The sequence below is a fragment of the Homo sapiens genome, chromosome 8, assembly GCF_000001405.40.
Source record: "Homo sapiens chromosome 8, GRCh38.p14 Primary Assembly".
NCBI lineage: Eukaryota > Metazoa > Chordata > Mammalia > Primates > Hominidae > Homo > Homo sapiens.
Window position 1 is genome coordinate 9,300,731 of NC_000008.11, and position 12,512 is coordinate 9,313,242.

The 12,512-nt window shown below is 42.6% G+C and overlaps 1 long non-coding RNA gene across 1 annotated transcript; it reads left to right on the forward strand.

Moving 5' to 3' along the window:
• The first annotated feature begins 3,266 nt into the window (after positions 1–3,266).
• Positions 3,267–6,682, forward strand: LOC124901883 (uncharacterized). The gene is made up of 2 exons (XR_007060811.1): positions 3,267–4,056; positions 6,217–6,682. It is a non-coding gene; the product is annotated as an uncharacterized LOC124901883 (long non-coding RNA).
• The last annotated feature ends 5,830 nt before the right edge of the window (positions 6,683–12,512 follow it).

The following is a 12,512-nucleotide window of genomic DNA, read 5'->3' on the forward strand; positions in this document are numbered from 1 at the left end:
GCGTGAGCCGAGATCGCGCCACTGCACTCCAGCCTGGATGACAGAGCGAGACTCCGTCTCAAAAAAAAGAAAGTGGTTTAATTGGACTTACAGTTCCGCATGGCTGGGGAGGAATGAGAATCGTGGCGGGAAGTGAAAGGCACTTCTTTCATGGCAGTGGCAAGAGAAAATGAGGAGGAAGCAAAAGCAGAAACCCCTGATAAACCGATCAGATCTAGTGAGACTTACCATCACGAGAATAGCTTGGGAAAGACTGACCCCCATGATTCAATTACCTCCCCCTGGGTCCATCCCACAGCACATGGGAGTTCTGGGGTATACAATTAAAGTAGAGATTTGGGTGAGGATACAGCCAAACCATATCACCAACATAGAAAATCCAGGCAAGTTTCACTAACAGGAATGATTTGGGGCTGAATGTGAGGAAAGTGTAATCCCATGCTGGGTTGCTGGGGGCTCTTGAGGGAGGGCAGATCTTGCCTATTTCAGTGTTTCTTCCTCTTTCTGAGTGGCATTCTCAAGCCTCTGGTAGTTAATAGAGGTGCCCTGCATTGGTTGGTTTCCTCTACCTCCTAAGTCAATCTACTGATTTGTCAAATTTGCTGATTCTACGGCTATATAATGCTCATGAACACACAAACAACAAATCGCTTTTACTCACCGTGAAGTGTATGATCTTTCTACAGCTGGGAGGAAGCTTATTGGGAAAGGTTTTCCGTAGAGCTCTTGCTGTACACGATTGGGATCCATTGGATTTATTTCGGCAGAGGGAGAGAGAGACATTGAATAGAACGTAAATAAATATTACCCACACCCAGCGTTTAACTTCTTTGATATTAAGGCTGATTTAGCGGTCAGAATCCAGGTGACGGGGTGGAAAGTAGCATGAAAGACAAGAAGGAGGAGAAGCAAGCTAGAATTGAATGAAGCTGAGAGAAGCAGTGAGTTACTGGGTAGCAATCCTATTCCCATTGCATTTCTGTTGCATTGTTTCGTTGTAAAGAAGAATCAATAGAAAGAGGATGCTCGAGTTTTAATTTAGTGAATCTCATCTGGGACATGGTACATCTGACAGTAGCCTTTTTAAAATGCAACCACTGTTCTCAGATTTATTAATTTTTATGTTATGAATATTTAAATATGCCCATCTCAATGGAATCATTTCATGGGAAGCTAATGCACTTACATTTTTAATGAAATGAGTAGTCAACCATTAAAAATAAAATATGGATATGAATTGTTAGACTAATTGATTGGGGGAAGAAAGTTATTGTGCAAGCAATCAGAGAATTTAGAAAAATGAGGAGAAATCAAATGACCCAATTATCGTCAGCCTTTGACATTCAGAAAGATGCTGTCCAATATATCTCTTTCTTTCTTTTTTTTTTTTAATGAACAGTCACTTTTTAAAATGTCTAAAGAAAATTATCACTGTAAATCAATCCTCAGGTAGGAAGAGAGCCAGAAAGGGATGTGATGTTCAGGAGCTAGTACTTAACTGCTAGTTCCTGCTACAATAAAGAGAGTGAGGAATCAGAGAATTTTCTGTATAATTCAGGTCGCAACCCTGCTTTTTCCTGGATTCCCCATAGAATATGGCAACTGAAACTAAGGATAAGTCTCCCCTCTCCCCTGAATTTCAAGATACCTGTGCGGTTATCAATATGTAAATAAATGTAATTTGAAAGTCACTTTAAAGATTACTAGTTTAAAGTCCCTTTGAAGTTTTGTTTTTTTTTTTTTAAGTGGAAGAATTATTGTTTAAAGCAAACCCTAGCGTTCCTTTTTCTAAGTATGATTTTCTCTGTTGGTCTTCAAGTGATTATCTTTTTTTGAGTTAAAGGTTTAATCTTAACTAATGAAGACTGCTATAGTTCTCAAATTGTTTTTTAGCTGGTAAATGTATAAGCAGAGAATAGATTCATTGCCACCTTTTTTGTTGGCCAATTAATCCCTACTGTTCAGTTAGAAGTGTGTTGATAAACAGAAATACTAAAAGAGCTATAACCCTTTCAAGAGAAAACTGAGGTCAGATTTCTTGCTAACCACCTCTTACAGGGCAATTTGATGAGCAAGGTGTGTATTGATTCAACAGCACAGGAGGCCTTGCTGTGTATTGGTAGCACTGCAAGTGCCAAAGGCTCAAGGAAGAACAAGGAAAGAGCTGAGAAGGTAAATCGCTGGCATTTTGTAGGCAGGGATAGAGAGACTAGAAGAGTGGGAGGATTGAGGATACTGGAAAAAAATGGCTAAAGTGGTGCACTAGGGAGAGAAAAGGAAGGAAAAGGCGGGTAAGAGCCAGGTATAGGGGAAGCAAAATCCGTGGGCCATGTGAGGAAGAAAGATAAAGAATTTGGCAATCAAAGTCACTTAGTGCAGTGCTTCTCTAACTTCAGTGTGCACACGAATCATCTGGGGATCTTGTGAAAATTCAGGTTCTGATTTAGCAGGTCTAGGGCCAGGCCTGCAATTCTGTATTCCTCCCAAGCTCCCAGAAGATGCCCGAGCAGGTGCTGGTCCAGCCCACCCATGAGTAGCAAGACCAGAGGATCCCAGTTTCATCTGATGGAATGTGAAGAATGTCAGTACCAATGAGTGAATTCCTTATTGTCAGTTGTGTACTTTGCACTCTGCTAAGTACCCTGAAGAGTTTTTAAAAAGAGGAGATAAGACATGCAAACATGAAACCACTAGAGTAAAACAGAAGAGTGTGTGCGTTACGGAGCCTACGTGGGGCTGGAAGTCTTCGGGAACAGAGAGGATCTGTCTAAGCATGTTGGAGCTTACACAGGCAGAAAGGAGGGGGAGTGGCGTCAAGCTGAAATGAACATAGAGGGGTAGAGTATGGAATGCCAGTGCCGAAGAACTGCGGAGACCTCTGTGGGGTCTTAAAGCTCCACTGCAACCCCAGAAAGTGACCATCTCTAGAGTTGAAAGGCTAAGTGTTGTGGTGGCTGGCTGAGTTTAGCTGAAAAGGCAGGTGTGTCTCCTTTAGTCTTTTCTTTCTTTTCTTTTTTTAGAGACAGGGTCTTGTTCTGTCACCCAGGCTGGAGTACAGTGGTGCAGTCATAGCTCACTGCAGCTTTGAACTCCTGGACTCAAGCAATCCTCTCACCCCAGCCTCCCGAGTAGCTGGGACCACAGGCACACTTCCACCATGCCCAGCTAAGTTTTTTATTTTTTGTAGCCATGGGGGGGGTCTCATTATGTTGCCCAGGCTGGTCTCGAACTCCTGGCCTCAAGTAATCCTCCTGCCTCAGCCTCCTGAAATGCTGGGATTAGAGGCATTAGCTATCACACTCAGCCTCATTCAGTCTCCAGAGCACCTGGCACATTGCTGGACACATTAATGGCCACTGAGGAAGTGGCTGACTCATGCCAGGGCCATTCAATGAATCACGGAGCAGCCAGCATGCATAGTAACTAATACACCTTAACATCGAGGTTCAAAGGTGAAAAACAAAAATGGATTCTCATTATAATAGCGGAAGAAAAACATAAATAATGATTGTTGCATGACAGTCTATTTAAGATATTCATTTCTTATTTGCTTTTGCTGCTAAATGGAACGCAAAAAAATAAAGATAACATTTTCCTTCTCACTTTCTACTTAGAAGAACGACCACACTTTTACGTTAAGGTTAAGACTCTCTGAGTTTCTGAAGCCTTGCAGAAGTAATCTTTGCCTAGCTTTGGGAAGATCTGACCCACTACAGATTATGTTAGAAGTGCCAGAGGAGGAAGACTTCCTGTACCCGTCTGTTATGGAGCTAAATCACATCAGTCACACTGTGACATGTGATGAAAAACATGGGCGCCATAGTAAGTCAGCCAGAACCCAGAGCAATGAGTATGTCTGGAAGGAGGAGACTGCACCAAAGCTAACATGTGGGCTGTGCGTTGAAGGATGAGGAGGAAGCTGCCAGTGACATGGGGGAAGGTCTTCTAGAAGGAGGCTGCAGCTCTGGCAGGGCCATGGTGAAGTCCCTGCAGGAGGAGAACAATGCACTGTGGATTGAGTGGAAGCCTGGAGTCCATGAGGGGCTATGACAGCAGGTAAGCACAGGCAGGGAGGCTGAGGCTGAGCTCAGAGACCTCTTGAATACCAGGTAGGGGGTTTAGACTTTGTCCTACACACGGTGCTGCCTATTTATGACTTTCTCACCTTACTTGGATAAAATAAGCTTATACATACATAATACTGGCAGTTGACTTTGGACCACAGTTAGGAAAACAATTACATCTTTGCCTAAGCTTCCATTTGAAATATTTGTCTTCACTCAGCTAGTTCTTTATTTTTTACTTTTTTATTTTTTTGAGATGGAGTCTCATTCTGTCGACCAGGATGGAGTGCAGTAACGGATCTCGGCTCACTGCAATCTCCACCTCTTGGTTTCAAGCAATTCTCATGCCTCAGCCTCCTGAGTAGCCGGGATTATAGGTGTGCACCACCACACTGGGCTAATTTTTGTATTTTTAGTAGAGACAGGGTTTCACCATGTTGGCTAGGCTGGCCTTGAACTCAAGTGATCTGGCTGCCTTGGCCTCCCAAAGCACTGGGAACTAGCTTCATTCAGCTAGTTCTTCAATGATATACAATGGAGGGGTGAACCAGACAAGTAAGGCAGAGGGGATTTGTTTCATTACTAATCTACTGTGTAATTTTTGTCAAGGGGCAAATTCCTTGAGCCTCAGTTTCCCTTTCTGGACTATGAATAATGAACATTTTGGCACACCAAACTTAGCAGTTCTCACAATGCTAGTTCCTGGGGACTTCCTGTGTGCCTGTTATATACATTATCTTTTTAATCCTCCAACTACAGCATAGGATAGGCTCTTCTGTCAGCCTTTTTACAGATGAAGAAACTAAGGCTCAAGGAATTTGAATAATTGGCCCAAGGACACATATGGCTAACAATTAGCAAAGCTGGATTTGATCTGATCCCAAACTCAGCCTAATCTCATTTATGCAGCACTCCTTACCCCAAAGATGGTTATTTTAACTATCACCATTTTGAAGAATACCTCAAACTCAAAAATTGTTTCAAAGTACCTGTAGCATGTGACTTCATTATCCTCACACTGCTGGGAAGAAATATAGAATCATCCAATACTGGACTGAAAAGACCTGAAAAACCACTCTAGCTTTTGCTTCTGTTTTTGCAGAAGAGGAGATTGGTGTGCAGCAAAGCTGTGGAATGACTCAAAGTCACATAGAACATTCTAGTAATAGCTGTTTCTTTTATATTTTAGTGTGTTTAAAGTACGGTGGGGGCTCTGACAAATACAGTTTCGGATTTTTTCTGCACTCACCGATTTTCTCTTCCTTATACTAAAGAGCCATTCTCTCTGCTTCCTTTATAATTCCACGTTTCCCAGTGATGTTGAAAATAAGTATCATAGGGGCCTGGCAGAGGCCTAGGGTCAGGCAGGTGTTCACTAAATTGATTGATAGCTCAGGACAAACATGTGGATTCTAATGTTTCTTGGGTGGAGGTTTTGGAATAAGTTGTTTCAGGAAAAGTGTTAGAAAACTTGAAGTTTTCTCATGATTAAAATGAATATGATATTCTTTAAGGGAAAAGGTGGTGATTTTAAGTCACAAAATGTGGTTGAAAAATTAAGACCAAGATGGTATCAAAAATTAAATGGTATCAAGAATCTTAAAATTATTCAGGCTCTTAAATTTAGTAATTCACTTCTAGGAATGTACTTTAAGGAAATAATCTGAAATTTCCAGAGATATATACACACAAATGTTCATCTCAGCATTGCTAATAATATTTTTAAAAAAATAAAACTAGAAACAACCTATCTGTTCAACCTTAGGACAAAACCCACAAAATAAAATATTATGGTGCTATTAAAATATTACTTATCAGTGACTTCAGTGACATGAGGAAATGCTTATCATACAATTTTCAGTGGGAAGAAAGGATGAAATAGTATAAATAGCATGATTTCAACAATGTAAAAAACTGCAGAGGAAATTGAGAATACACCAAAATACTAACAAAATTTCTCCATGGTAGAATTATGGGATTAAGAATGATTTTACCCTCTTCTCTAAACTTAACTTAGCTTTCCAAATTTTATACAAAAGAATGAGTCCCTTTTGTAATTGAAAAACAAACTTAAAACAGAAGCATAGAAAATCTTTCATAAATAGCCAAGATGTTCTCTTATGCAACACCTATTTTTTTTTCTCACGGGGAGCTGTCATCCTACCTTGACTGAGAATGGACAAGATCAGCTCAGCAACATCAGGAACTGGCTGTGAAGACCTTTCCCAGAGTTGTGGCTTCGAAAAGGAAATCTAGCTTCTAAGATGAATGATCAAGGGTTTGGCCAAAATCCAGGTTCATGAAACTGAAGAAGTAGCTTCACAATATCCGGGACAGAATGGGAGAGAGGGGCAGGAGACAGGCAGGTATCTTGCCTGAAGATTGAAGTGATTCTCACTGGAGAAATAAAAGAAATTCCAAGAACCATCACTTTTGCTTTAAGAGGAGCCTTTAGAGCTGAGTGAGGACAACAGCCCCATTTTAGACAAGAAGAAACTGAGTCCAAGGAGGTCGAGTGACTCTGTTAATATCACACAGTGAGTGACCAAGACTCCCATCTTGCAGTCCAGTTGTTTTCTACTGTCTTTACTTTGAAATAAATGTTGGGATGCTCTAAATAGTCGTCTGCAGCTTATCATTATCACGGAAACTGTGAGTCGCCTCTGTTCTTCTACCAGGGATTTCGTGCGTGATCCCAGCAACAAGCCTAGGATACCAAATGCAATCAGCGCCAGTTTGAAATAATACCCCTCCCACTCTCTGCTAATTTTCTCGGAAATGGTTAGATCCCCGATGGCCCCGGACCAGAATGGCAATGACTCCAGAGGTTGTCCAGGGTCTTTGGAGGAAATATCCATTTCTGGAATTGATGAACATTAAAGAGAGAATATTAATAACATCCGACTTGTGCCACTTTCAGAAACTTGGTTCAGTGCCCTGGGATAGTGAGAATGTTCTTAGCCTACTTTGTGTAAATTGCTCAACTCCTTTCTGGCCTTGGGATGAGATCGATGAGATGATTGCACTTGGAAATGCAACAGTGAAGAGTTGGGAGTGAGGGTGCTAACAAGGAGCGCAAATAAACAGAAAAACAGATCTATGGAAACCATGCAGGAAATCCTATTAGGGTGGAAACGTTAAATGTAGTATGCAGTGGGGAGATGGGTGGGGGGTTGAAGGCAGACGGGAACTCCCTCAGATTGGCAGAGATGGGGACCCACCTTACTCCTCCAGGAAAGTGGGAAAAAGTGCCTGAAGCTTTCTCAGCTGAGCACAGTCTCCACATCAGACGCTTTTTGCCCTGTACCCTGCCCTGCCCTGTCTTGCCCCTGGATGTGCCTACTTCATTACAGTTCTGTTGATTCCTGGAATCCCAAAGCAGCAGTAGCAATGCCTAGAAGAGATGCCATGTTGGTGGAGACAGCAACACTGAGATGGAAATGGAGACCGAAAGAACAGATGATCAGAGAGCAGGGAAGGAGTTTCTTCCACGGATCGAGGTATGGAGTAATCTAATGGTGACATTAGAGGTGACAAATGGTGATGTTAGGGGTTACCAATGTTTTCAGCTACCACAGGGAGAATTTGCGAGTTTCCTTTACGTTCTACCTGAGCATCAAAAAGGAAGAGAGACAGCCAGGATTGCAATAATAATTATACTGGAGAATACTTGGAACAGCACCTACCAGCAATCTGCTGGGACTCATGAAAGTCATGAAGATGAATTCAGCATGTGTTCCATGGCACGTGTGATATGGGCTGCATGCTGAAGGATTCAGCATCATGCAAGAAAAGACATTTGTATTCTCATGGGACTTAAAAATCCAAGAGAAGACAGAGAGGGAACAATTATTTATAAGTGTGACAGGTATCACAGTGAAGAAGTAAAGGACACTTTAATATCATATCACACCTATCACTTCTCGGCCTTTTGGCTAAGATCAAGTGAAGATTATTTCACATCTATGTGAACTTATGGGAGGAATCCAGATTAAATGAGATACTATGCATGAAGTGTGCAGCATGGTACCTAGCACATGAGTGCCCAGTAAACGGTAGCTGCTATTACTAAAGGTCTAAAGAACATGCTTCAAGGAGGCAAATCTTTTTTTTTATTTCAATAGTTTTGGGGGTACAATTGGTTTTTGGTTACATGGTTAATTCCTTAGTAGTGAATTCTGAGATTTTAGTGCACCCATTACCAAGCAGTGTACGCTGTACCCAATATGGTTTTTTGGGGGGGGTTTTGTTTTTTTTGTTTTTGAGACGGAGTCTCGCTTTGTCGCCCAGGCTGGAGGGCAGTGGCACGATCTCGGCTCACTCCATTCTCTTGCCTCAGCCTCCCGAGTAGCTGGGACTACAGGCGCCCGCCACCACGCCTGGCTAAATTTTTTGTATTTTTTTTTAGTAGAGACTGGGTTTCACCGTGTTAGCCAAGATGGTCTCGATCTCCTGACCTTGTGATCCGCCCACCTTGGCCTCCCAAAGTGCTGGGATTACAGGTGTGAGCCACTGCGCCTGGCCCCCAATATATTGTTTTTTATCCCTCACTCCCCTCCCAACCTCTCCCCTAGCAGAGTCCCCACAGTCCACTAAATCTCTCTGTATGGTTTTGCATCTTCATAGCTTAGCTCCCACTTATAATTGAGAACATACAGTATTTAGTTTTCTATTCCTGACTTACTTCACCTAGAATAATGTGAGGCAAAATTTTTTTTGTGGACATATGTATTGGGAAGAAAAGCCTATGATCCGTACGTCATTTAATCATTCATTTTCTCACTTCATAGACCATTTTTTACCTTATAGGTGTAAGGTGCTGTACTCAATGATAGAGCACAAAAACAGGTAAAGGTCTCTACTCTCAATGGGGTTCAAATTATAATAGGCAAGAAAGACATAGGCCAGGCGTGGTGGCTCACGCCTGTAATCCCAGCACTTTGGGAGGCCAAGGCGGGCGGATCACGAAGTCAGGAGTTTGAGACCAGCCTGGCCAAAATGGTGAAACCCGGTCTCTACTAAAAATACACAAAAAATTTGCTGGGCGTGGTGACACGCACCTGTAATCCCAGCTACTCAGGAAGTTGAGAGGCAGGAGAATTGCTTGAACCCTGGAGGTGGAGGTTGCAGTGAGCCGAGATCGCCCCACTGCACTCCAGCCTGGGTGACAAAGTGAGACTCCATCTCAAAACAACAACAACAACAACCAGAAAAGAAAAAAGACACAAACAAATCACTGCAAAATGGTGCAATAAGAAATATATTATGTCACACAGAGGCCAGCAGTCTCAATCCTGCCTTACAGGGTCCAAGAAGCCTATGCTGAACAGGGAAGGTGAGTTCAGTCTAGAAGGAGATGTAGTTGTATAGGGCCCTTGTTTTATTGACAGTTTTTTTGTTTTTTTGTTTTTTTCTGGGTGTGGTGAGCTTGGCAAGGTGTGACTTTTATATTTTCCTGTTCCTATCTCCATGTTTTATCTCTCAGTTCAGTCTCCTGATGCATTGCGAAACAAAAAACACAACAAAAAGGTGCTGGGAGGGGTTCATTGCCATGCTATAGCGACATTTTTGGCCAGGAGAACAAACTCAGAACATGTGCTTTTTATATAGAGGAAATCACTTCCAAAATATCCATAAAATGGCCTATCTCCACCAGAACCACTACTGGAAAAAAATGTGTGGTTTGATCAAAGTCTCAGAGAGTGCTCTGATTATCTGTGTGTCCGAGAAAGTGAGAGATTTTGTCTCCTCGTCCCTCGGATAGTCAGCAAATGATGGTAAGAGTAGGGGGCCTGGCCCTGCAAAGTTCCATTTTTCAAGCTGTCACTCACAGGCAGAATCCTTCTGCCCCCTCTCTGCACCCTCCCTACCTGGGACCCACAAACTCAGTATCTTGGTGGCAGAGTTTGTCTAAAATGTCTTACGTGGGGATGAAGGAGAGAAGCATAAACATTTAAGAAAAAGTCCAAAGTCTTCCTCAGGAAAGCAGTGTGATGGTTTTCTTTCTTTCAACCTGTGCATGGCTGGGAGATTGAGGCCTTCCCCTCTCTTCAGCCTCTTTGCTGCCAGGAGCTTGGGCCAAGTCAAAAGCAAAGCACACACTTGGAGAGTTGACTGATGGCCCAGAAAAGCACGGGGTCATCTGATGCCTTCACACAGGCCCCTCACATGGACGGAGAAACTGGGTCTGCCAGGTGCACGCCTTCGGAGAGTTCTCTTGTCTCTGACCCTGTGGGTCACCCCACACAGTAGAAGGCAAAGTTAGCTCCTGCTAACTCTCCCTGGCTCAGCAGTCAACTGAAAAAGAGATAAACTCGTCTCTTTTCTAATTCACGTCCAAACAAGCCAACGAATGCAACTGTTGCAAAATGGAAAAATGAAAAAGTGCTTGTTCCTAAAGGGAAGAAGGGTGGGAGGACAGAAATTCCATGAGTGCCGTCTCTCAGCTTTGCATATCTGTCCTCTGCCCTCTCTTTCCAACCCAGGAGCTGTATATTCCATGAAGAGCCCTTCTCCCATAAAAGGAGACTAGATGGGTAGTGTCTTACTTGGGAGGCTGTCCCGACTGTGAAATGTCCATTTCATAAACTAGTAAATCTGACTTTCCATATTCCCACACTCTAATCCAGAGAGAGAAAAGATTCCAGAAGAATCTGCAGTAGAGGGCCCTTCTCTGCAAAGGGACTCAGGATGCTGCCTTATGGATGAAGCCTTAGGGATGTACCTCCACCATAAGATGCTCTAGAAGCCAGGAGCAGGAAAAGTAGAGCAGCAAGGGGCAATGCTGAGTAAAACTATTTACCCAGACTAATTTCTCTTTCACTAAAGCCCTGGTTGGGGCTGCAACAGAAAGGGATGAATATTGCCCTTTAACTTGATTGCCTACCTTTGGCATAATGGCTCCCAGAGGAGTGAAGACTCCAAGATAAAAGCACAGGCGAACCCCCTCTGGGAATTCCACACGGAGCAGGAAGAGTTGGTTGACTTGGGAAGAATTTCCATCAGCATGTTAACAGTGAGTACCTCTGAGACACAAGATTTTATGAAGTTTTCCTTTCCTTTTTATATTTTTCTTGATTGCTTGTATTTTTTGTTTATAATAAACCTAAACTATGTTATAATCAAGAAAGAAATAAAATACACATATGACCATGGTTTACTCCTCCTTCCAGAGACATAAGATAAAAACATGGGAATAAACTCATAACAGTCGAGGTAATGGGAGGAAACAGTGGAGGAGAGATCCCCGTACAATTTCAAGAGAGGTAAAGAGAATAGAAACCAGCTGACAAGTTGGAGAATCAGAACATGGAAGCCATATTCCAGCATGGTGGAGGAGGCGGAGCGGTGGGGTTGCAGAAAAGATAATTCATTATCTGGGGAAGAACTGGCCACTTGGTGGGGAGGCATCTTCTCACACATCCCTGAGTTTGGAGGTGTGGCAGCCATCTCCAGGCAAAAACGGAGCTCCCTTCCGTAGAGACAAACATTCTTTCTGAGAATTGGGGCTTCTAGATCCCTGTGTAAGTGGTGTCCTGGCCAGATTCCTCTGTCTGCTTAAGCCAAAGTGAAGCGCTGCCAGATGGTGACATGCTGCCGGGACACTGCCGGAATGTGATGAAGAGAAGCCGCTGCACCTAGGGCACATGACTCCTGCCTCATGACCCCTGTCTGGTAATCCAAGCTCAGCACCTGCCTCAATATCTATGAAAAGGACTCATATATCAATGACTTCAGATTTATAATAACAGAAATAGTGTCTATTGGTTTTTAACCTTGAGAATCAGTCTCGTAGGACACAGAAGATTAAATACGGTTATAGAAGAAAATGTGATATGATCAGCTTCCCAGTGTAAAAGCAAATTCCAGCTGTCAGAAAGTGAGAAAGGTATGGGAGGAAGAAGAGGGGCCCTCATGTCTTCATCTAATTGAGGTGAAAATCAAGACATACTTTCTAAAATGGATGTAATATAAAATATATGCTTACATTATTATTCAGAGGTAATACACAGTAGGACAAAAGTGTCAAAAATTAGGAAGAAGAAAAGAGGGAGGTTAAGGTGAGTTAATTCGTTAGCTTTCTGTAGGTATGAGTGACTTCATAATGTCTTAAGTTAATAAGTCAGGAAATAGCATATACATTAGTTATCGTCAAGGAGGGAACTTCCAGAATTAAGAGCAGAAACCATTTGCCTTGGGGAACAGAAACTACATGGGGAAGAATGGGGTGGGTGGTGACTATAGGTTTTCATTGTAATTTCTTCTGTTGATTTCTTTTCTTTTTTTTTTTTTTCTTTTTTCTTTTTCTTTCTTTTTTTTTTTTTTTTTTTTTTAGACAGGGTCTTGCTCTGTCACCCAGGGTGGAGTGCAGTGGTGCAATCTCAGCTTACTGCAGCTTCAACCTCCCGGGCACAAGCAATCCTCCTACCTTCACCTCTTGAGTCACTG